Source organism: Homo sapiens, chromosome 2 (genome assembly GCF_000001405.40).
Source record: "Homo sapiens chromosome 2, GRCh38.p14 Primary Assembly".
Lineage (NCBI taxonomy): Eukaryota > Metazoa > Chordata > Mammalia > Primates > Hominidae > Homo > Homo sapiens.
In genome coordinates, this window is record NC_000002.12 from 196,634,095 (window position 1) to 196,658,927 (window position 24,833).

General features: G+C 40.1%; 1 protein-coding gene and 1 long non-coding RNA gene across 12 annotated transcripts in view, besides 5 other annotated features; one reads left to right on the forward strand and one right to left on the reverse strand.

The window, feature by feature from the left end:
• Nucleotides 1-4,333: 4,333 nt before the first annotated feature.
• Nucleotides 4,334-5,591, reverse strand: LOC105373823 (uncharacterized). The gene is made up of 2 exons (XR_923747.3): nucleotides 5,302-5,591; nucleotides 4,334-4,473 (listed from the first exon to the last, which is right to left on the reverse strand). It is a non-coding gene; the product is annotated as an uncharacterized LOC105373823 (long non-coding RNA).
• Nucleotides 5,133-5,352: an enhancer, noted in NCBI's record as "active region_16910". NCBI's record gives its function as "activates an Ori minimal core promoter by ATAC-STARR-seq in GM12878 lymphoblastoid cells {active_cell/tissue: GM12878}" and the evidence as "EXISTENCE:reporter gene assay evidence [ECO:0000049][PMID:35858748]".
• Nucleotides 5,373-5,422: an enhancer, noted in NCBI's record as "active region_16911". NCBI's record gives its function as "activates an Ori minimal core promoter by ATAC-STARR-seq in GM12878 lymphoblastoid cells {active_cell/tissue: GM12878}" and the evidence as "EXISTENCE:reporter gene assay evidence [ECO:0000049][PMID:35858748]".
• Nucleotides 5,407-5,944: an enhancer, noted in NCBI's record as "H3K27ac hESC enhancer chr2:197504225-197504762 (GRCh37/hg19 assembly coordinates)". NCBI's record gives its function as "activates a minimal SCP1, AML or CMV promoter by ChIP-STARR-seq in naive H9 embryonic stem cells {active_cell/tissue: H9 hESC(naive)}" and the evidence as "EXISTENCE:reporter gene assay evidence [ECO:0000049][PMID:30033119]".
• CCDC150 (coiled-coil domain containing 150) overlaps nucleotides 5,621-24,833 on the forward strand; it is a 93,092-nt gene continuing 73,879 nt past the window's right edge. For 8 of the 11 annotated variants that reach the window (XM_006712438.4, XM_017003863.2, XM_047443975.1 and 5 more), the window contains exons 1-5: nucleotides 5,621-5,684; nucleotides 12,247-12,410; nucleotides 22,539-22,759; nucleotides 22,864-23,042; nucleotides 24,698-24,766. In XM_006712438.4, the coding sequence (XP_006712501.1) occupies nucleotides 5,673-5,684; nucleotides 12,247-12,410; nucleotides 22,539-22,759; nucleotides 22,864-23,042; nucleotides 24,698-24,766 (645 nt within the window). In that variant the 5' untranslated portion in view covers nucleotides 5,621-5,672. The remainder of the gene's footprint in view (nucleotides 5,685-12,246; nucleotides 12,411-22,538; nucleotides 22,760-22,863; nucleotides 23,043-24,697; nucleotides 24,767-24,833) is intronic. The other 3 variants (XM_047443976.1, XM_047443977.1, NM_001353339.2) reach the window with 2 other exon arrangements.
• Nucleotides 5,945-6,482: an enhancer, noted in NCBI's record as "H3K27ac hESC enhancer chr2:197504763-197505300 (GRCh37/hg19 assembly coordinates)". NCBI's record gives its function as "activates a minimal SCP1, AML or CMV promoter by ChIP-STARR-seq in naive H9 embryonic stem cells {active_cell/tissue: H9 hESC(naive)}" and the evidence as "EXISTENCE:reporter gene assay evidence [ECO:0000049][PMID:30033119]".
• Nucleotides 18,698-19,346: an enhancer, noted in NCBI's record as "OCT4-NANOG-H3K27ac hESC enhancer chr2:197517516-197518164 (GRCh37/hg19 assembly coordinates)". NCBI's record gives its function as "activates a minimal SCP1, AML or CMV promoter by ChIP-STARR-seq in primed H9 embryonic stem cells {active_cell/tissue: H9 hESC(primed)}" and the evidence as "EXISTENCE:reporter gene assay evidence [ECO:0000049][PMID:30033119]".

A 24,833-nucleotide genomic window follows, 5' to 3' on the forward strand; every position in this document is an offset into this window, starting at 1 on the left:
GGCTGGTCTTGGACTCCTGACCTCGGGTGATCCACCCACCTTGACCTCCCAAAGTGCTGGGATTACAGGCGTGAGCCACCGTGCCTGGCCTATTAATCTGTCTTAAATGTATGTATAGCTCTCATTTATTTCAATATTTAATATTAGAAGTGTTTTGGTCTTTATTTAGAAATTTGGTGATGTTTTTGTGACCAGAAGTATGTCATAGGCACCTAACTGTCATTTATATCAATTAGGCTATAATAAAAGTGGTTTCCTTAAACTTTCAATTAAGGTTGCCATTTCCAAGAACGTACTGAGGATGTTAAGGACTTACTGTCCTAAAAACAACTGTATGCCCATAAATCCAACAACTTAGATAAAACAGACCAATTATTAAAATACACAAGCTACCTACACTCACTAAAAAAAAAAAAAAAAAATAGTTCTACAACTATTAAATAAATTGAATTTGTGGTTAAAAACTTTTCAAAAAAGAAAATTCCCTGCCCATATATTTTACTGCAAAATTCTAGAAAACATTTAAGGAAGAAACAATAACAATTCTATACAATCTTTTTCTGAATTTATAAGAGAAGGAAACACTTCCCCATGCATCTTATGAAGCTAGCATTACCCTAATAGCAAAACCAGTATAATGAAAGAAAAATAAAGACCAGGCCAGGTGCGGTGGCTCATGCCTATAATCCCAGCACTTTGGGAGGCTGAGGCGGGCAGATCACTTGAGGCCCAGAGTTTGAAACAAGACTGGCCAACATGGTGAAACCCTTTCTCTTCTAAAAATACAAAAATTAGCTAGGTGTGGTGGTGAGTGCCTGTAGTCCAAGCTACTTGGGAGGCTGAGGCCCAGTAATTGCTTGAGTCTAGGAGGTAGAGGTTGCAGTGAGCTGAGAGCACACCATTGCACTCCAGCCTGGGTGACAGAGTGAGACTCTGTTTCCAAAAAAAAGAAAAAGAAAGACCAATATCCCCCACAAACACAGACACAAGAATACTCAACAAATTATTATTAAATTGGGTCTAGAAATATATAAAAAAGGAAAATACAGAATGATTAAGTGGGATTTATCCAAAGAATGCAAGATTGTTTCAATGTGGGAAAACTCAACCAATGTAATTTACCAGATTACCAAACTAAAGAAAAAAACCATGATTATCTAAATGGCATTTGACAAATTCAAATTTCTTTCCAAAAAAACTCTCAGCAGACTAGAAATGAAAGGAAATTGCCTGGATATGATTAAGGACAACTGTAAAAACCGATGACTAACATCATACTTAATGGGAACAAGATAAGGACATCCTTCTTTCACCACTGCTATTCAATATCATAGTAAAAGTTTTAGCCAGTGCAACAAGGCAAGAAAAACAAAGTCATTCAGATTGAAAGGGAAAGAAAAAACTCTATTTGCAGATGTCAGAATTGTTTATGTAAAAAAATCCCAAATAACACACGAAAAAAATTCTAAAGCTAGTCCTAAAACTAGTAAGAGAGTTTAGCAAGGTCATAGGATAAGAGCTCAAAATACAAAAGTCAATTATATTTCTATGTACTAGCAACAAACAATGGATTTGAAATTTAAAAAAAAAACTAGTAACAAAAAGTGGAAAACTTAAACACAAATCTAAAAAAAATATAGTATCTATATATTGAAAACTATAAGATACTAATTAAAGAAACCAAAGAAGACCTTAGATATGTGGAGAGATACATTATCTTGGTTTGGATGAAAAATTATATGGTCACACTATCTACACAGGTAATAAAAGGTACTTTTATTTCTTTTGTATATTCCCAGTGCTTATTTATACAAATATAAAATTCTTATCCCCCCTGGCATTACACAATACCTCACTTGTTCAACTTAAAATATATCCTATAGAATTTTCCATATAAGTACATAGACATTTTCCTCATAAAAAAATTTTTATTGTGAAAATAATTTTAGACACACAGAAAATTTGTAAGAATGGCATAGTAAATACTCACATACCACCACCTGGATTTCCTTATTTTCTTTGATAAACATGGTATTTGATTGTGTGAAGTTAATTCATATATTTCTCATTGAATAGTTAGATGCTGAAAATTCTGTCTTACCCCACTGCTGTCAGATGGGGTGGAGAATGGTAGGAGATGGAGTCTAACCAAAATGCATAAGCTTTGAAGCGAGATAGAGCCAACTCCAAATAACCATTCTGTCACTTATTGGCTGTATGGCCTTTAGGCAAGTTACTTAACTTCCCCCGGTGTCAGTTACTTCATAAGTAAAATGAGAATATAACTACTACACCAAAGGTTACAGTCAGAATCATGTGGTGATATGATAAAGTACAAAAGAGTACTTTAATCTTAGGAAAGGTAAAATAGAGCTGCAGCAGTGTCATCATAGCCTTGACCTTATTCATAAGTTTGGTTAATGGAACAAGGTGAAAATCTACCTGACTATAAAATTTAGTTGGTGGAGCTAAGTGACAGAGACCGTATAAGAAGCACTGTTATCCTTGGCCATTTCAATTAATAGAATTATCTTCTCAGCCGTGGCCGGGCGCGGTGGCTCACGCCTGTAATCCCAGCACTTTGGGAGACGCGAAGTGGGCGGATCACGAGGTCCAGAGATCGAGACCATCCTGGCTAACGTGATGAAACCCCGTCTCTACTAAAAATACAAAAAAATTAGTGGGGCGTGGTGGCGGGCACCTGTGGTCCCAGCTGAGGCAGGAGAATGGTGTGAACCCAGGAGGCAGAGCTTGCAGTGAGCAGAGATCAAGCCACTGCACTCCAGCCTGGGCGACAGAGTGAGACTCCGTCTCAAAAAAAAAAAAGAATTATCTTCTCAGCCTTGGGCTGATTCACCAGTTCATTAAAAAGCCAAAGACTCTTTCAAATCCTAATCTCTATACCCAGAGCCAATACTTTACCAAAATATCTGGATTGCCCACATAAGGTGAGGAGCCAGTTAGTGAATTTGCCATTTTTATTCTTTTATTTTACCAACAAGATATGAAAACTTTGGGTGTTCTGTTTGCATTTCTTTGTCCACGGAATACATTTCCAACTCCAAGGGGAAGTAGTTGCAGGGAACTTTACTGCCATTCGTGTAACTACAATGTCAAATCATCTGCAGCGTATATTCTATTTGGAGGCCTTTTCCTGGCTTACAAGTAGAGAGTGAAACACAGCCTCTATTAGTAGAGCCGTTTCAAAATTTATTCATTCACTCACCTAACAAAAACTTTCCAAACCCCTACTGTGTGCCGGGCATTGTACTTGGTGTTGAAAAGAAAAAAACAAATTCCTGTCCTTAAGTAGCTTACAGCTCAAATAAGGGGAAATAAGATACATTGACAATTATGAAGTGCTTTGGGAGAGAATAGAATGGCTTCACAGAAGAGGCTAAGTTTCTGTTGAGCTGGTGAGACTGACAAGAGGAAGGCCGTGCGCAGCAGAGTGAGCATAACCTGCAAGCACAAAGACATTCTATGGTAGCAGGCTTGACTTCAGAGTTCCACTGGGGCACTAGGTGCAGAGTAGGCTGGAGGGTTTGGCTGAAGCTATTACCAGTTTGGTCTTCATCCTGCTCAATGGAAAACTTTTCGTTCAATGGGGGAACGATTAAATGTTTTTAAGCAAAGACCTGAGATAATCAGATTTACTTTTTTAAAAGATCTGGTAGCCATATGAAGGATACTTTGGAAGGGGTAATAGGAAAACCAGTTAGGAGGTTATCGCAGTGAAACAGAATGTGGTCTTCATGGAATATCTAGGATTTCCGTGAATGAAATGATCTTGTTTGATAAATGGGGTAATGTCTGAGAACTATTTATCAACTGAAAATCAAGAGGGAAATCAGCAAGAAAATCGGTATGTTTGGCATTATTTCAATCAAAATCCTGGCAGAATTTTTGTAGGTATCAACAAGTTGATTCAAAAAATTTGGGAGAAAGGTAAAGGAACTAGAAAGTTAAAGGAACAGCCAAAACAAATTTGAAAAAGGACAAAGTTGGAGGACTATACTCCCTGATTTCAAGTTTATTGAAGACTTCAGGTCCTTTTCTCTAACTCTGTAATTGCTTAAGTTCTTATACGGTTTGCCAGACAGTGAATAAGGGAAAACAAATGAAAAACACGAATTTAATCAGTTTGGTTCCCTGACTGCTGCTTAATATGGAGATTTGAGGAGAAGGTGAAAACTCTCATTACACAAAAACACGTGGATACATGTATCACTCATCTCTTAATTCCACTGATAAACCAGAGGTCATTGCAAGATAAAACATACATAATGAAAATAATTGGCTGTTTGCACTGACGCTTTAAAATACATTTTCATTTCCTATTAAAAGCTTTATTTGGTCCCTTTCTCTGAATAATGTATGCAGTGCTCATTTCTCTTCACCGGATCGGCTCAAAGCTTGATGAATATGGCTGTGGTTTGATGGGCAGTCTCTGCATCTCACATTGAGGCTCCGCTATGAAAAGAATTAGAATAGCAAGATCAATTGTCAGGCTAAGTAAATGAGCTCTCATCTCGGATCTGATTGCTTATATGAGAGGGCTGAAGTGATTCTTGGCTGCACTCTCAGGGAGAAGAGAGAAATGCATTTTAATTGCCCTGGCAGGGATAACAGGTGTTCTGTCCAGCTACCAAAACGCAAAGCCGCGTCTTTGCACTATAGAAGGCTTTCCCTTAAGTGAGAATACATATTCTTAAAGCAAAACAACTCAGAAACGCTGGTGTGGTGATGCACGCCTGTAATCCCAGGACTTTGGGAGGCCGAGGTGGGCGGATGGCTCGAGCCCAAAGAGACCAGCCTGAGCAATATGGTGATGACCCCGCCTCCACGAAAAAATACAAAAATTAGCCAGACGTGGTGGCGCGCGCCTGTGGTCCCAGATACTGGGGAGGCTGAGATGGGAGGATCGCTTGAGCTCGGGAGGTCGAGGCTGCAGTGAGTCGAGATCGCACCACCGTAATCCACCCTTGGCGACAGAGGAAGACCCTATCTCAAAAAAGCAAACCACCAAAAAAACCAGGGACAGCTCAATGCTCTTTTCCGTTTCATAGCTACTTACACTCAGATTTACAAATACCTATTAACTTGTAGACAGGGCAAGAAATAATTTATGCTGAAGAGACGAAAGACCTGAAAACAGATTTCTGTGTTTTACTCTCCATGTGGCCATCATGGACGAGGACGAAGAGGGACTTGATTTTTCCTTTAACGAGAAGAATGTTTAAGCTCTGAATTTTTAACCAATTTTTATGCTCGTTACTCTGCTGTAGGGTATGTATTTACCAAGATTAGCAGAACACCGCGAGTTCACCAGGCGGAGACAAGTCACTGTGAAGTGGGCAGCACAGGACCCCCCGGAGGGCAGGCGCCGGAAACTACATATCCCGGCGTGCCCCGCTCGCGAGCACAGTGGAGCCTGCCGCCATTCGGTTCACGGCGCTACGCATTCCCTGAGCGCCGCCGGATGCCGGCCTGGGTCCCGCCCAGGGCTGAGGGCCCTCCTGGGCCGGGAAAACTACAGTTCCCGACATGCCCTGCCACGGGTGCGCCTGCGTACCGGAGCTACTGCGCCGGGGAGCGGGTTGGTTTAAAATGCTGTGTTAGTTCCACGGAAACCCGCTCGCCTGCTGCAGTACGGAGCCTCAGGCGGACAGATGGACTGTAAGGTGAGGCTGCCGGGCCCCGGGCTGGTGAGGGGTGGTCGGAGGCTCGCGAGGCTTCGGCTCAGATAAGGACAGTCACCACTCCCTGGCGCCCTCTCCCTGTCCTGACGGAGTCCAGTCTCACTCCCTGGACCTCAGGGCCCTGATTTAAGGCGCTTTGGCGTTGGCTGCCGGTGAAAGCCATTTAGGAGCGAAGTTTGCATTGGCCTGGCTCCAGCTGAGGGATGGGAGATAGCCACCGAAGCCTCCAGATAAGCCCAATACCACCTTTATTTATGTGTTAAGTTGGAGTTTAATAGGTTCCTGGGAAGGCTATTTCGGCGTTAATGTTTGATTTTTGCCACCAGTTAATCCTCCCTGGCTTGCTTACCAGAATATAGGTGTCAGGAATTTGCACTTGTTCTTTACGGTTTCCGCAGTACCTGGCGCTCTTGCTAGAACGGAATAGACATTCGTTAAATTCCTGTCGAAGTATTCTCCTGTTTATTTACCACCTATAATTTCCCAGGCACTGTATTAGGCTCTAAAGATAGAAAAATGTCTATTTTTAACCCCACTTTAGAGAAGTTCGTATTAGTCCGTCTTAAATGCCCCCCAACACATGCTTCTAATTTGTTAATCTTGGCGTGCTCAGGACTAGGTCCTTTAATCCTTTGTGTTCTCTGTTATCCCGCCTTATGGTTTTCTTGAGCTCTTCAGAAATTAGTCTCCAGTCCACACCTCACCCCCAAACTTCAGATCCACAAATTCAATAATGTATTTGGTATCTTTCATGTTTTAAATTTGACATTTTAAAAACTACTCTTTATCTTTTCCACAAAACGGATTCTTCCTTAATAAGTTTGCATTGTCTCAGTGATAGCACCATCCAGGCCAAAAACCCTGTAGTAATCTTGGCTTCTTCCTTTCCCTCATATCTCATATCTAATGCATCAGCAAAAGCTATCTTTCAAGTATATCTAACCACTAACCACTTCTTACAGTAGGAATACCGCTGCTGTCACCTTGGTTCTGGCCAGCAGCATCTCTACTTCTGCTTTTGTTCTTCCACCATTTGGAGTGGGAGGGAGTCAAAATGATCCAGTTAAAAGGAAAGTTGGATAGCATTCCTCAGCTATAGACCTCCAGTGACTCTGAGAATCACTGACAGCAAAAGCCAGACTTCTACAATGGCCTTCAAGGCTCTGTGTATTCTGTTTTTTGTTTTTTTGAAACGGAGTCTCGCTCTGTCGCCCAGGCTGGAGTGCAGCAGTCTCAGCTCACTGCAAGCTCCGCCTCCTGGGTTCACACCATTCTCCTGCCTCAGCCATCCGAGTAGCTGAAACTACAGGAGCACGCCACCACGCCCGGCTAATTTTTTTTTTATTTTTATTTTTGTATTTTTAGTGAGACGGGGTTTCGCCGTGTTAGCCAGGATGGTCTCGATCTCCTGACCTCTTGATCTGCCCGCCTCGGCCTTCCAAAGTGCTGGGATTACAGGCGTGAGCCACCGCGCCCAGCCGTATTCTGGTTTTATTATTACCGTCTGACCTCATCTCTCAATGTTCTCTGTGTTACTCCTTCCTCTCCAGCCAAACCCACCTCTTTATTATGTGCGGACTCATCAGACCTTCTAACTTCAGGCCTTTGCACTTGCTGTTTCCGTCTTCTGGGCCTTTCTGCCCTCTGATATCTATATAACAGGTCTTTGCTCAAATGTTATGAGGCCTTCTTTGACCACCCTGTTTAAAATGAAAATCTGCCCTGTAGCCTCCATACCATGTTCTTTCCTATTTCATTTTCCTCCTTTGCACTTATCACCAATAAACAAACTATGTATTTTACTTAGTGTCTGTCTTCTTCAGCTGGAATATAAGCTCCACGAAGGCAGGGAGTTTTGTTCGTACTGTTCTACCCAACCCCTGCCCCCCGCCTCATTGCCTATAACAGTGTGTGGCTCATGGTAAATGTTCAGGAAATATTTGTTAGATGTGTGAGTGAATGAAGACAGTGTTACCATATTATTTTCTAGTGGTTGTGATAAACAACATTGACTCCCTGGACTGTTATTTTGGAACCAACAGCATGTACTTGTATACGCTTTTGCCAGTGTACACCTATTGCCAGGTGTAGGAATGGAGCCTGTGTCCACAGAAGCATGTGTTCTCTTTTCAAAGTCATCTGGTTTTTACTAGTATATTACTTGTGACATTGGTCTTTTTCTTGCCATGCTTTCCATAAGGTTACCTGCCTAGAAGCTCTTTGGAAATATTCTCCCTAAACATCAAGACAGAATTCTGTTAGTTTGATAATAATATATGCATAGAAATTAGTTATGAATGAACTTTTTTAAAAATAAAAGTTTATATCTCAGTATTTTTATTATTGTTACTATCAAGCGTTAGGACTTAGGTTCAAGGCAGCAATCAATATTTGCTCCTTTTCAAACACAACAAAGCACAGATATGTTAAAGCTGTTGTCTCTTTGCTAGAATGTCAGCCATTAGAGGTAGATTGTTTTCATGTAAGACTGTGCTTCTTAGACTATGAGCCATAGAACTATGACTTATGAGGATCTGCCAAGTGGCCATTGGAGAGTGTGCGTGTATTTATGTATGTAGGGGTGTGGGTGGCATTTCTGCTACCACTGCTTTGGGCCTACCAGATGGGGAGGACAGGCAAGGGTATGAGCAACTGCAGTGAAAATGAGAATCTCTCTCTAACTTTAAGCCCCAACTTGGTAGATTAATTTACTGGATTGAAAGTTCTTATCTCATACTTTAACAGCCTCCCAGATACTCGGGGACTCTGCCTGGTGGCTTTAAGGCTGTCCTCTTGCTACTCAGCCATTACCGCCCCCTCCCTTGCTTCCAAGGACTCTCCTGACCTTGGCATTGTTTGGTTTTTGTTTTTGTTTTCCCATGGCGGGAAGTGGAGGTGGTGGTTGGGAGGGAAGGTTTTTAACTAACCCTGAGACTTGTTTTCATTTTTTATTTTTTTTTAGAGACAAGGTCTTGCTTTGTCACCCAGGCTGGGGTGCAGTGGCACAATCATAGCTCACTGCAGCCTCTACCTCCTGGGCTCAAGTGATCCTCCTGCGTCAGCCTCCCAAGTAGCTAGGGCTACAGGCACAGGCCACCATGCCCAGCTCATTTTTAAAAATTTTTGGAAGAGAATAGGGTCCTGCCATGTGGGCCAGGCTGGTCTGGAACTCCTGGCCTCAAGTGATCCTCCCACATAGGCCTTTCAAAAATGCTGGGACTACAGGCATGAGCCACTGTGCCTGGCCATGAGATCTGTTTTTAGTAAATCCCCAAAGGCTAGATTGGCTTATTTAATTTTTGTTTCAGCAACTTTGATGACCTGAACAGGATTCTCAGCGATTGACTAAGAGGATATTTTAAGGACAACACCATGTATTTCACTCAAAAGCTTTGTGCCCTGCCAACCATCAATCAGTGTCCGAGTCACCTCAATCTCCCCCTTCTTAGGGTGAATTTTCTATAAACCTCCTTCCCCTCAGAGGCTGGGCCAAGTTGGTTGCTCCTTTTTGAAAGTATATTTTCTCTATGGAAGCCTGAGAAGCTTCAGTGTAGAGCAGGGTCGGGTGGCACTCAGTGTGGATGCAAACCAAATTCCTACCGCGACATGTTGGACCTTCTTTTTTTTAAAACAAGTGAAGCAATTTAAATGATTTGCTGTTTTGTTTTCATGGCTGAATGTACACATGTCCTGGAGAGCCAATGTAAGCATTTAATACAGATCATAGGTTCCTTAGGGAAATATCAACAAAACTAAACATTTGAACAATTACATGAAAAAATTTTAGTTGGGAATCTGCATCCTATTCAAAATATGTGGGGGAGCTTCTCCATTTCCATTTTTTTCCAAAGACAGACTTTTGCAATATGAGTATTAGTATTATGTGCTTGGCTTCTGATATAAATGAACATAGACAAGACTCTATATTATAACCAGCTACCTGGGTCTAATAAATTGCCACAGAAATTGTTCTCCCTTCCCCTCTCCAGCACTGCTTGTCATTTTTACTTCTTCCTTCTACTTGTTTTTCCACCAGCTAATGCCTGGGCCTACTATATGTAGAAGAAAGTGACTAAAACAAACAAAAAAAAGTTTTTTATCTCACATAAGCAGAGTTTGAAGATTACTGGTTTTGCCCAAGTGTCAACATAGTCTGAGGTTCTCTGTCTTTTCCTTGTGTTTATCAGACACTGGTGATCCTTGGCTCTTCGTTTATATTTGAGAGTGAGCTGCTGCATACCTGACTGATGGAACGCTCTGGGAATTGTAAGGGGGTAGGAAAAGACAGGTGCCATCATTACTCTTTTTTTAATCTAGAAAAACAAAAGTCTGCCTAGGAGCCCTTTTGCAAACTTCTGCCCAAAGTCTCTTTGGCCAGAATATATCACATGAGTGTGCCTGCTGAGGCGAGGCTGGGGTCATGAGCTTTTCTGCTTCTTTTGGAGAGAGGACAAAGGAGCTGTGTCTGCGCACACCCTATTAGCCACCCTTTCCCTAGGTTTTCTCCCCATCTTTGGCATGATTTATCTCTAGGTCAGTAGCTGGACAGCAGGTGACAGAAAATAGAATGGAGGTGTTTCTCCATTGTTACCCCTCCATTTTTTCCCCACCCAGTGCTGTTGGTGGCTCCACCAACTGCAGCCCTGGTTTATGGCAGCTGATCCAGCCCGACGGGCTTACTCAGAGGCTCTTTCGTTTACTACTTGAGGAATACTATACTGGCTCATGTGGTAACATTACCAGGAGTCTCCACATCAGTTTTTTTTTTCCCAGAAATGTAGAGGAGCCCCACTTCGAATATTTTGCGTGTCCAGAGACTGCATCAATATCTGCATGTCTTTGTCTTTCCTTCAGGAATGAACTGAAAAAAATGAAAGTTAATTAATAGAAGGGAGCTTCTTTCACCCCATGTCCTTAAGCTGACTTAACAACAAATCTAAAGAATGCAAAAAGCTTGTGTCAAAAAAAGTTTCACAGTAGGGCATGAAAGAAAAATTCTGGTCAGAAACACCATAGTAAGAGTAAAAAGAAAAATAGGCTGGGCGTGATGGCTCATGCCTGTAATGCCAGCACTTTGGGAGACTGAGGCTGGCAGATCACTTGAGGTCAGGAGTTTGAGACCAGCCTGGCCAACATGGTGAAACCCCGTCTCTACTAAAAATACAAAAAAAAAAAAAATTAGCCGGGCATGGTGGCACATAACTGTAATCTCAGCTACCCGAGAGGCTGAGGTGGGAGGATTGCTTGAACTTAGGAGGTGGAGGTTGCAGTGAGCCAAGATCGCTCCATTTCAGTCCAGCTTAGGTGACAGAGCAAGACTCTGCCTCGAAAAAGAAAAAAATAGGCCATTTTCTGGAACCTGTGGGAAGAAGATACAAAGTGAATTGGAGAGCTATTTCAGGATGAAGAAACATCCTCAGCGGGTATAGCAAGCTCAGCCCCACCATGATTCTTGCTCCCTTAAATCCTGCCACCAGTCCTCCCACTTCATGAATTCTTGCCCTGGGTCCCAGGACCACCTTCAGCAACTTGAACATGAGGTGGACCCCCCTTTCACTTCCAGGAAGGTAAGGGTCAGGGAGATACCTGATGACATAGGAAGTGGGTACAAAGGTGTATTCCTGATATCCCAAGTTGGACCCTTGTGAACACATTCCCATACGAACACTATCGCTAGAAATGGCTAAGGCTTACAGCATGATTAGTAGAGAAATGTCTGCAGAGAACGGAGTTGCAGGACAATGTTTTTAAAGTTTTCACCAATTACCTTGTCATTGAACGTGATTCATTTACACGTTGTGACCACATATAAGCTAATTCTGCTTCTGTCACTAATATCTTGAAAGTATTCTCACTATTCTTATTTATTTTCATTGCGTTTTGGGGGAGGAGTCTGTGGAAAGTTGATGTCAATAGCTGTAGAAAGGTCTTTGCTCTTGCCTGAAGTTAAGGTTGCATGTTATTTTTTAAAATGCTGCTTCAATGCAGGATACATAGTTGGTAAGTCATTTATTTTATGGCAACTGTACAGAGGTCCAAGTATAGAATGTTTTTCAAGAAGGTTGAATGGTAATAATGTTATGATGAAAATGGCTAGTAATAAAAGCCATTCCCTCAGCAAGTCATAGGTCCTTGTGTGTGACTAATAGTGGCAAATAGAATAGACTAAATTATGATGAAATAAAGTACTCAACAATCTTAATGGCTTACAACAACATAGGTTTATTGTATGTCATGACATCCACACTGTATATCATGAATGGGTTGTGGGTCTGTTTGATGTCATTGTCACCGTGGGATCCTAGTGCCTGGAGAAAGTCCTACCTGGGATGTTGCTCATCTCATAGGGGAGGGAAAAGAGAGAGATGGTGAAGAACAAGCTGGCTCTTATAACTTCCACCTACATTTAATTGGCCAAAGCAGAACACATCACCATTCCTGAGTTCAACAGGACAGTGATGCCTAATCCTGGCACAGGAATGGCAGTGACTATTTTTGAACAATAATAGGACCTACCACACTAAGATTGTGACTGTATTCTTAGGTACATATGGAAACTACAGTGTCCAGACCGGTCCTTTCTCCAACCCACATCAACGCTACAGCTTCTGAAACATTCACAGTACTTCAGCAAAGGATGAGAATAGTTGAGGAACAGACCAGTTCACTGAGGGATGACCTAATAATGTTGGATTTTGGTGAAAAAAGGTAACAAAAATGAACTACATCTCTGTAGGTTGAAGAATTTTGCTTCACTGCTTATTAAGTCACAGTAGTTTGGCAGATGAGATGGATATTTGCAAAAGAACTGAGAAATAATTTTCATTTGAGCATCACTTAGAAAACATTTGCAAAATGAAGAGTTGTCGTTCTGTGATAGAGCTAGAGCTACTATCACTTTTTTCCTAAACAGATATTTAAAATGTGTTAATTAGGTATACAAACTTTGGTATTCTGTTCACTTGATTAAAAACAAACATGTAATTTTTCATGTAATAAAAAAAGATTTGTTCTCATTTTAAAATAAAAAGAGACATATTAAGGTTAAAAGCTAAAATGTTGCTTCATGCCATTAATTTGGTCATTTTCTTCTCCCATATTTATTATAAATTAAAAGGGGTTTTTGAAGTCTTTAAAAATTTTATAATTTAGAATGAGATACTAAAAAACAATTTTTTTCCCCTAGTGCTTCTAAAGAAGTTATTAAAAGTTGGATTATCAATGGCCTGCAGAATCTGTGGGCTTAAGCAGCCAATTGAGAATTTACTGGTGTGATTTTTTAAAAATTACATATATATTTCCTGAGTGTCTCTCAGGAAAGATATCAAAATTAGTATAGTTGGTATAATACCCATGGAATAAATAACCCTTTAGCAGTTAAAGATTAAATTTGGTTCAAATGTTGAGCATGTTGGTAACACAATAGGAATATTTATTATGACTTTAAAAATTTTCTAAAAACATGAATATATTGCCTCCATGCTGACTTTAATAATTAGTTCACTATAATAGAATTAACATTTAACATTTTTATGCATATAAAATATGCATATAAACATATATGCATACATATTTTATATGCATGTATATATTATGTACCTAATTATCACACTTTAAATATTTAACATATTTTATCACTTGTTTCTACATAACAAGAAAAGGTTTATGAAAAATCCATATTAAAATAAACAACAATTAAAAAGTCAGTGGTCCTCACTTATCACACATTGGCCTCATCTTTACCTAATAACAAGAAATATATTTAAAATTGGAGTGGTTAATAAATGCTTGTTAACTAGTCTATTCTTTTTCCTTTTTTTATATTTTATTTTTAATTGACAAATAATTGTATATATTTATGGGGTAAATGTGACGCTATGATGCATGCATACATTGTAGAATTATTGTATCAGGCTAATTAACATATCCGTCACCTCACATACTTATTTCCTTGTGGCAAAAAGATTTAAAATTAGTCTTTTAAGAATTTTGAAATATACAATACGTTATTATTAATTATAGTCAAGGTACTTTGCAGTGGATGGCTAGAACTTATACCTCTTCTTAAACTGGAGCTTTGTACTCTGACGAACAATCTCTTCTTTCCCTGTCCACCTCCTCACCTTTACCCAGCCTTTGTTAACTACTGTTCTACATTCCACTTCTATGAGTTTGACTTTTTAAGATTTACATATAAGTAAAATCATGCTATTTGTTTTTCCATGCCTGGCTTATTTCCCTATTGATGGGCATTTAGGTTGTTTCTATATCTTGGCTATTGTGAATAGTGCTACAGTGAACACAGGAGTGCATATATCCCTTTAACATACTGATTTCAATTCCTTGGGATATGTACCCAGAAGTGGGATTGCTGGATCCTATGGCAGTTCTACTTTTAGTGTTTTGCAGAACCTCCATGCTGTTCTCCAAAATGGCTATACTAATTTGCATTCCCATCAACTATGTACGGGGGTTCCCTTTTCTCAATACCCTTGCCAGCTTGTTATCTTTCATCTTTTTGATAGTAGCCATTCTAACAGGTGTGAGGTTTTCTCACCGTGGTTTTAATTTGTATTTCCCTGATGATTTGTGATGTTGAGTATTTTTTTAATGTATCAAGTTGGCCATTTGTATGTCTTCATTTGAGGAATGTCTATTCCGGTTTTTGTCCATGTTTAAAAAATAAGGTTGTTTTCTTGTTATTGAGTAGTTTGAGTTTCTTGTATATTTTGAATATTAGTCCTTTATCAGATGTATGATTTGCAAATATCTTTTGCCAGTCTGTGAGTTGTCTCTTCATTCTGTTGATTGTTTTGATTGCTGTGCAGAAGACTTTTAGTTTGATGCATTTCTATTTGTCTATTTTTGCTTTTGTTGCCTGTGCTTTGGGAGTCATATCCAAGAAATCATTGCTGAGACCAATGTCAAAGAGGTTTTCCCTCGTGTTTTCTTCTAGTAGTTTTAGTTTCAGGTCTTATGTTTTACATCTGTCTTTAATCCATTCTGAGTTGATTCTAGTATATGGGGTGAAATAAGGGCCCAATTTCATTCTTCTGTATGTGGATAGTCAGTTTTCCTAATACTTGGTTAAAGAGACTGTCCTTTCCCCATTGTGTATTCTTGGCACCTTTGTGGAAAATCAATTGACCATAAATGCATGGGTTTATTTCTGGGCTATCTATTCTATTTCATTGGACAATGTGTCTTTTTGTGCTGCTACTATGCTCTCTTTATTACTATAGCTTTGTAATATATTTGAAATTAGCTAATGCAATGCCTCCACCTTTGTTATTTTTGCTCAAGATTGATTTGGCTATTTTGGGGGTCTTTTGTGGTTCCATATGAATTTTCAGGTTTTTCTATTTCTATGAAGAATGACATTGGGATTTTAATAGGGATTGCCCTGAATCTGTAGATGGCTTTGGGTAGTATAGACATTTTAACAGTATTAATTCTTCTAATCCATAAACCTGGGATATCTTTCAGTTTACAGTCATGTGGCACATAAGGACATTTCAGTCAGTGACAGAGTGTATATTAGTGGTGGTCCCATAAGATTGTAATGGAGCTGAAAAATTCCTATCATCTGGTGATGTCATAGCTATGGTAATGTTGCAGTGCAAGGCATCACTTTTTCTATGTTTAGATATACAAATACCATTGTTTTACAGTTGCCCGCAGTATGCAATATGGTAACATGGTATACCGGTTTATAGCCCAGGAGATATAGCCTAGGTACGGAGAGGGCTATACCATCTATGTTTGTGTAAATATACTCTATGATGTTCGTACAGTGACAAAATCACCTAACAACACATATCTCAGAATGTATCCCTGTCATTACATAACTCATTACTGTATTTGTGTCATCCTCAATTTGTTTCATCAGCCTTTTAGAGTTTTTATTGTACAGATCTTTCACCTCCTTGGTTAAACTTATTCCTGAGTCCTTTTTTGGTGCTATTGTAAATGGGATTATTTTCTTAATTTCTTTTTCAGATAGTTCATTGTTAGTGAATAGAAATGCTACTGATTTTTGTATGTTGATTTTGTATCCTGCAACTTTACTGAATTCATTTATTGTAATCGTTTTTTGGTAGAGTCTTTAGGGTTTTCTGTACATGAGATTTTGTATGTCTTCAACAAAAAGAGACAATTTCACTTCCTCCTTTCCTGTTTGGATTTCTTTTATTTCTTTTTCTTTTCTAATTGCTTTGGCTAGGACTTACAACAGTACATTGAATAGAATTGGTGAGAGTGGGCATCCTTATTTCAGTCCTGATCAGAAGCTTTCAGCTTCTCACCGTTGAGCATGATGTTAGCTGTAGGCTTATCATATATGGCGTTTATTATGTTGAGGTACGTTCCTTCTATACCTGATTTGTTGAGAGTTTTTATTATGAAACATTGTTGAATTTTGTTAAATGCTTTCTCTACATCTATTGAGATGATTATATAATTTTTATCCTTCATTCTGTTAATACAGTGGATCACATTTATTGATTTGTGCGTGTTGAACTGTTGTTGCATCTCAAGGATGAATCTCACTTGATCATGGTGAATGATCCTTTTACTGTACTGTGGAAGATGGTTTGCTAGTGTTTTGTTTGTTTTTGAGACTGAGTCTTGCTCTGTCTCCCAGGTTGGAGTGCAGTGGCGTAATCTTGGCTCACTGCAGCCTCTGCCTCCCGGGTTCAAGTGATTCTCCTGCCGCAGCCTCCTGAGGATCTGGGATTACAGGCAAGTGCCACCACGCCTGGCTAATTTTTGTATTTTCAATAAAGACAGGGTTTCACCATGTTGGTCAGGCTGATCTCAAACTCCTGACCTCGTGATCTGCGTGCCTCGGCCTCCCAAAGTGCTGGGATTACAGGCATGAGCCACCATACCAGCTGCTAGTGTTTTTATTGATAATTTTTGCATCTGTGTTCAGGAATATTGAACTGTAATTTTCTTTTCTTTTAGTGTGTTTGTCTGCCTTTAATTTCAGGGTAATGCTGGCCTTGTAAAACGAATTTGATGTATTCCCTCCTCTTCAATTTTTGACAGTTTGAAAAGAATGGGTATTCTGCATTAAATGTTTGGTTGAAATTCACAGTGATGCCATCTGGTACTGGGTTTTTATTTGATAGGAGGAAACTTTTTGTTTATTACTGATTCAATCTTCTTACTCTTTATTGGCCTATTCAGATTTTCAGTTTCTTCATTATTCAGTCTTGGTAGGTTACATATTTCTAGGAATTTGTCCATTTCTTCTAGGTTATCCAATGTGTTCTCATTTTGCTGTGTGGTTATTCTGAGGATTACAAAAAACACAGTAGGCTATTTTAAGGTGATAACAATTTAATTTTTACTGCATGGCTGAACTCCACACTTTTACTCTCCCTGCTCCCACTATTTATGTTCTTAATGTGATAAATTACATGTTTTTATAATGTGTATCCCTTAGCAAATTATTGTAGCTATAGTTGTTTTTATTAGTTTCGTCTTTTAACCTGTATACTAGAGATATAATTGATTAATAACCTGCTATTACAGCATTAGAGTGATTTGAATTTGACAGTACTTTTATTAGTGATTTTTATGCTTTCTGATATTTTCTTTTATTAATTAGTATCCTTTACCTTCAGCTTGAAGAACTTTCTTTAGTTTTTCTTGTAAAGTAGTGGCAATAAACTCTTTCACCTTTTGTTTGTCTGAGAAAGTCTTCATTGCCTCTTTGTTTTTGAAAGATAGCATTGCTGAGATAGTATTCTTGGTTGACAGTTTTATTTTTCTTTTGGGATTTTGACTATATATTCTACTTTCTTCTTGCCTACTAGGTTTCTGTTGAAAACTTCATCGATAGTCTAGTATGGGTTCTCTTTTATGTAACAAGCTACTTTTCCCTTGATGCTTTTAAAACTCTTTGTCTTTAACTTTTGACAATTTGATGATAATGTGTCTGTGTTAGTCCATTGTGCATTGCTATAAAGGAATACTTGAGACTGGGTAATTTATAAAGAAAAGAGATATATTTGGTTCATAGTTCTGCAGGCTGTAAAAACATGGTGCCAGCAACTACTCGACTTCTGTTGAGGCCTCAGGACGCTTACAATCATGGTGGAAGGCAAAGGGGGAGTAGGTGAGTCACATGGTGAGAGAGGGAGCAAGAGAGAGGAGGAGGTACCAGGCCCCTTTAAACAACCAGTGTGAACTAACAGAGTGAGAACTCACTCATTACCATGGGGAGGGCACCAAGCCGTTCATGAGGGATCTGCCCCTATGACCTAACAGCTCCCACCAGGCCTTACCTCCAACAATGGAGATCACATTTCAACATGAAATTTGGAGGGGACAAACATCCAAACTATATCATTCCACCCTTGGACCCCAAATCTTGTTCTTCTCGCACTGCAAAATATAATTATCACTTCTCAATAGTACACTAAAGGCTTATTCCAGCGTTAATTCAGAAGTCCCAAGTCTCAATTCCAAAGTCTCATCTGAGACTCAAGGCAAGTTCTTTCTACCTGTGAACCTGTAAGACAAAAAGAAAGTTATTTACTTCCAAGATACAATGTGGTACAAACATTGGGTAAATATTCCCATTCCTAAAGGAAGAAATTGGCTAAAAGAAAGGAGCAATGGGTCCCACACTTTAAAGCTCCAAAACAATCTTTGACTCTCTGTCCCATATCCTGGGCACACTGGTATGCCAGATGGGCCCCCAAGGCTTTGAACAGCTCTGTCCCTCTGGCTTTGCATGTTGCAGCCTCCATGGCTGCTCTCAAGGGCTGGAGTTGAGTGCCTGTGGCTTTTATAGGCTCAGGGTGAAAGCTGCCAGTGGCTGTGTCCTTCTGGGGTCTGGAGAGTGGGTTCATTCCCACAGCTCCCCTGAGCAGTGCCTCCAGGTGGACTGTTTGTGGGGACTCCAGTCCCACATTTCCCTTCAGTGCTGCCCTAGCAGAAGCCTGTTGCAGGAGGAGAGCCTTTGCAGAGAGCTTCTGCATGGGTACCCAGGCTTTCTCATGCATCCTCTGAAATCCAGGTGGAAGCTGCCAGGCCTCCTTCATTCTTGCATTCTGCATGCCTGCAAGCTTAGCACCACATGGAAACTACAAAGGCTTATGGCCTATGTCCTCTGAAGCAGTGACCTGAGCTGTATCTGGGGCCCTTTGAGCCATGGTGAGAGCTAAAGCAGCCAGGATGTGGGGAGCATTCCTGAGGTGGTGCAGGGTGGTGACACCAAGTCCCCAAAACCATTCTTTCATCCTAGGCCTCTGGGCCTGTGATAAGAGGGGCTGCTTCAAATATTTCTGAAATGCCTTCAGAGCCTTTTTCCCATTGCGTTGGCTATTAGCATTTGGCTTCCTTTTAGTCATGCTAATCTCTCTAGCAAATGGTTGCTCCACAGGCCACTTGAATTCCTTTCCTGAAAATGTTCTTTCATTCTCTACCACATGGCTAGGCTGTAAATTTTCCAAATTTTTATACTGTACTTCTCTTTTCAATATACGTTTCAACCTTAAGTCATTTCTTTGCTCCTATATCTTATTGTAGACTGTTAAGAGCAGCTACATCACTTCTGGAACATTTTACTGCTTACAGATTTCTTCTGCTGGATACCCTAGGACATCACTCTTAAATCCAGATTTCCACAGATCCTTAAGGGCACGGACACAGTGCAGCCAAGTTCTTTGCTAGGGTGTCACGTGAGTGACCTTTACTCTTATTTTCCAATAACTTCCTCATTTTCATCTGAGACCTCATCAGCCTGTCCTCTGTCTATATTTCTGTCATCTAAGACCTCATCAGTATGTCCTCTGTCTATATTTCTGTCAGCATTTTCATCACAAGCACTTAAGTCTCTAAGAAGTTCCACTTTCCCTCGTTTTCCTGTTTTCTTCTGAGCCCTCCAAACTCTTCCAATCTCTGCCCATTACCCAGTTCCAAAGCTGCTTTTACATTTTCAATTACCTTTTTAGCAATGCCTCACTCTTTGTTACCAACATTCTGTGTTGCTTATTTTGTGTTGCTTATAAGGGAATACTTGAGGCTGGGTAATTTATAAAGAAAAGACAAATATTTGGCTCATAGTTTTCTGCAGGCTAAAAAGCATGGCACCAGCATCGGTTTACCTTCTGATGAGGGCCTCAGGAAGCTTACAATCCTGGTGGAAGGCAAAGGGGGAGCAGGTGAAGAAGAAGAAGTGAGAGAGGAAGTGAGAGAAAGAGGAGGAGATGCCAGGCTCCTTTAGATAGCCAGCTCTTGTGTGAACAAAAAGTGAGAACTCACTCATTGCCAAGACATTCATGAGTGAGCTGCCCCATGACCCAAACAGCTCCCACCAGGCCTTACCTCCAACAATGGGTGTCACATTTCAACATGAGACTTGGAGGGAACAAACATCCACACTATGTAAGTGTCTAAGTATGGGACTATGGAACTCTTGAGTTCATCTTATTTGTTGTCCTTTGGGTTTCTTGGATCTGGATTTCTATGTCCTTCCCCAGGCTTGGGAAGTTTTTTTTTTATTATTATTATTTCTTTGAATATGTTTTCTGTTCCTTTCACTTTTCTTTCTGCAATTTTGATGATGGCATATTGTTCTGTTGATGGTATCTCATAAGTTCCATAAGCTATCTTCACTCCTTTTCATTTTTTTTTTCTTTCTGCTCCTCACATTGGATGATTTTCAGTTACCTGTCATCAGGTTTACTTATTCACTTCCACTTCATATAGTCTGCCATTGAACCCCTCTATTGAATTTTTTCATTTCTCTTATTGTATTCTTTGGCTATATGATTTTTTAGGTACTTTTTTATACTTTCTTACTCTCTTTTGTTGAAATTCTGTTTGTTCTTGCATTATTCTCCTGACCTTGGGAGCATCTTTATGACCATTATTTTGAATTCCCTCTTGGAAAAACCATATATCTCCATTTCAGTAGGATCAGTTTCTTGAGATTTATCTTATTCTTTTATTTGGAACATATTTTCCTATTTCTTCATTTTTCTTTTAACTCGCCGTGTTGGTTTCTGTACATTAAGACAGTAACCTCTCCCAGTCTTGTCAAACTGGCCCTCATGTAGGAGATCTTACCAATTCGTACAGCCAGAAATTATAATGTATCTCTCAAATCTCTGTGTACAATCTGATATCTCTGTTTTTGGTGGCCCCAGAAGGTTAAGATGTGCCAAGTCTTGTTAGTACCATGAGAGCAGTAAGACAGTAGCCACGCTCTCTAGATGCAGCTGAAAATATTAGGGTGTTAGATGCATGTTCCAGTTCCTTCTATCCTCAGGGTGAAGCTGAGAGCAGGTATTTATCCCTTACTGCGCTAAAGCAGGCATTATTTATCTGCACTAAGGCAGGCATTTATCTCTCTCTACTCTAAGCCAGGGAGAAGCTCTGTGGCAAATACCTATACTACTGTCATTCAGACTACATCCTCTGAGGGTATGGCCACTGGGAGTGGGCCCGTTTTATATCTACCTCTTTGTTTTCTGTGGTCTAGAGAGACTTGGAAATGCAGAGCCAAATCAGCTCCCAGAGCTGGGTGGCTAAGGAGGTAGTCCTTATATGAGAGCTGTAGAAGTTATGTCACTAGATAAGTGGACAAACTACTTTTAGGAAGCTTCTGTAGACTTGGAGTTATCGCTGGGGCAAGCTAGGGGAGAAGTCTTGGCAAGTACCAAGCTCTCATTTAGGCTGCCAGAGGTGTATTGTTTGGCTGCCCCATTAACTCCCTGATGCAAGTTAGTTAGAAGCCAGACCATCGAGTATTCACTGGAAGAATGTACAAAGAAATCCTTTTTAGTGAAAAATAGAACTGTGTGTTTCAGCACTTTCTCTGCACTGCTTCCAAGAGGTGTAGTCCCTGGAACTGCTTGCACTCCTGTTTAAAACCACCTCTTAGGATTGTGATCTGGGGAGATTCTTATATGAGACTCTTGTATTCCTAATCCTTTCTATTCCTAGAGCTAGGAGGTTTAAGATGCAGTCCCTCAAGTAGAAGTTATAAAAGTTGGGGTGCTTGATGCATGGAAAAACTTTTTCCAGGAGGAATTGGTAGACTGGAGTTATTGATGGAGTGAGCCAGGGGAATAGGCTTGGGGGCTGCCAAGCTCCCGTTCAGGCTGCCAAAGGTTATGTTTGTCAGCCCAGTTAATTCCCTGATGCAGGCTTGTATGAAGCTCAACTGGTAACAGCAGCAGTTGACAGAGTACATTGGCAACCCCTTCCAGGCAGAAACTGGGAGCTTTGAGTTGTAGGCCCTTCTCTACCCTGATCCTGGGGTATGAAGCCTCTGTAAGTGCTTACACACCCATATATAATCACCTCTTTGTTCTGTGGTCTGGGGAGACTTGTGTATGCCTCTAATCCCTTCTGCTTCTAGAGGCAGGTGAATTAAAAGCCACACTGTGGGGAATCTTAGAGTTAGGGTGGTAAATATGAGGTCCAAACCCTTCTCTCCTCAGGGAGAGGATAGGTGTTGGGGATACCTTCTTAATTGGATGGCACAGTGCCTGGGGTGGGGTTTGGACCTGAGTGTGCCTCAGCTTTTCCTACCTAGTCAATGTGGATATTTTCTCAGTTGCCGGATACAGAAAAGTCTCTCAACTTGTTTCTGACTTTCTCTCAGAGGGAATTGATCTGTGTGTCAATTAATCAATTCTCAGAGGGAATTGATTAGTGTGTCCCTATGTGGAGGGAGAGTCAGAAGCCTGCCATGTTGGTGATGTCACTCTCCAATTATTATTCTTATTGGAAATGTTACATTGACTCAGTTTTTGGGATTACCATAGTAGAAATTGCATTGCATAATATTGTTATATTGGGATCTTTGTCCAGAGGCTATTTGGAAGCTCCAGACTGTTTAGAAGACCTGGACAGCCAGAAAGTCATTAGTCCTATCCAAAATGAAGCAATTTGTGCAGGAAAAACAGATATTTTATGGAAGAACTGTGAGTTTCTGGTAAATCGAATGTGCCGTCTTGAAAGCCTCATGCAGTCCTTGAAGATGAACATCTTTCGGCTGCAAACTGAAAAGGATTTGAATCCTCAGAAAACAGGTATAGAGATAAGAATCATCAGAAATGTGGTCCTGTATAGGTGCTTGATTTTCTTTACTGACCTTCTTTCTGCTGCTTGATGCCCCTCCTGTGCGGTCTGGTAGCTTTTCTGAAAGATCGACTGAATGCAATACAGGAAGAGCATTCTAAGGACCTGAAGCTGTTGCATCTCGAAGTTATGAATTTGCGCCAGCAACTGAGAGCTGTAAAAGAGGAAGAAGACAAGGCACAAGATGAGGTGCAAAGGTTGACTGCCACTCTGAAGATTGCCTCGCAGACAAAGGTTTGAGTCTAAGAGTTCTGAAGTATAAACACACTGTTATGTGTTAGCTGGAGGAGGTAACAGACCTATGACGCGACTTTTAAAAATAGGTGATGTTGATATGAGGATTCTTGGCATTTGACATTTGGCATGTTGATTTGAGGATTCTTGGCCTATGACATTTGCACTGATAACCTAAACCACTGTGTGCTATCTGTGATTGATTATTTGTACAACCCTTACCCCATACAAGTGATGGTGTGGGTCCAGAGGTATGAGATAGAGCCTGTGCTCTTCAGGAACTCATATGCTAGTTGGGAGAACAAGCTACAGCATGAGAAATTAAATAAGGAAAAAATAAGAGTATAGGAAATGTTACAGAATAGGATAGGACAAAAAGTGAATATTGCCGAGTAAGGGCTTTGTGTTCAGACATGTTTGAGAGGGTGAGGATGCTCTATCTAGAATAGATTAGGCAGGCTTCAGGGAAGGGATAGGACCTTTAGAAGCAAGGTGTAGGGGTGAAGACATTTCAAGGAGCACACGCAGAGGCAGCAAAGAATAAGGACTACTTGGAAAAGAAACTAACAATGTTGTTCTCCCTTCATGTCTAGGCAATGTAATGGATGTTCAATGTGTTATTTTGTTTAATCTTTGCAAAATCTTGTGAAGTAGGATATTATTATCCCCATTTTTTAACAATGATAGTACTGGGTCCCTGGGATAAATCAGTTGTCCAAGATCAGACATACCTGTTGTCTTGTTGTTACCCGGGTTTGAACCTGGATCTTTCTACTCGGTACAGCTAGGAGAAATATATAAACTAGCCTTACAAGAGTGAGGATTTGTTTGTGGGAAATAAGTTGGATATTAGCTAGCAATGACATTATAGAGTATCTGAAAATCAGAAATAATTAGTAGTTGGGGTTGATCCTGTGGGGAGCGATTGAGATTTTTGATATGGAAGTGACATAATGAAAACGGGAAAACAACTTTAGCAGTATTATAGGGTATTGAAAATAGGGAGAGAAATTGGAGGCAGGGAAACCAATTAGGAATCCATTGCATTATTTGAGGCATGAGCCAAATTAGGTCTGATCTAGGGTTGTGGCATTTTGAAAGGAAAGAGGAATGTTCTGTAAAAAAAAGGTATGCTCGAATATGGTACTGGGAGGGACTAAAGGCAGTAAAGAAGGCAAAGATGGCTCTGAGGTTTTACATCTGAGATTGTGGTGCCATTTATCTTAATAAGAAAGAGAATAAGTAGGGAAAGCTGTGTTTTTCATCCTCAACTTGTAAGCACGAATAATATTTGAAGCTGGAAAAATAGAGTTCTTTAAAAAATTAAGAATATACCGTGTAAGTAAAATGTCTGTCAATTACCAGATTGACCTCTAATTATTGAATTTTATATAGGAGGTGGGTGCGATTAATCACTGTTTATGATATAAAAGAGGAAATTATAGAAATCATGTATCAAAGTAATAAAATAACTTTCCTGTTAAGTAACTCCTGGTAATAATTACTTCAGACTTATAACAAGGAGTATTTATAACCATATTAAAAATAGCATTTATAGGTTGCCAGAAAAAAACCTGATTTGATCTGATATACCTATAGACAATTTCTTCCTGTCATTTCAGATTATTTAGAATCTTTTCTCCTTCTACTTTTAGAAGAATGCAGCCATTATTGAAGAGGAACTGAAGACCACAAAACGTAAAATGAACCTTAAAATTCAAGAGGTAAGACAAAAAGATGGAGGGTGGAGGAGGTGTTGGAATTGCAGAGGGGAAATCAAGAAAGCAGAGA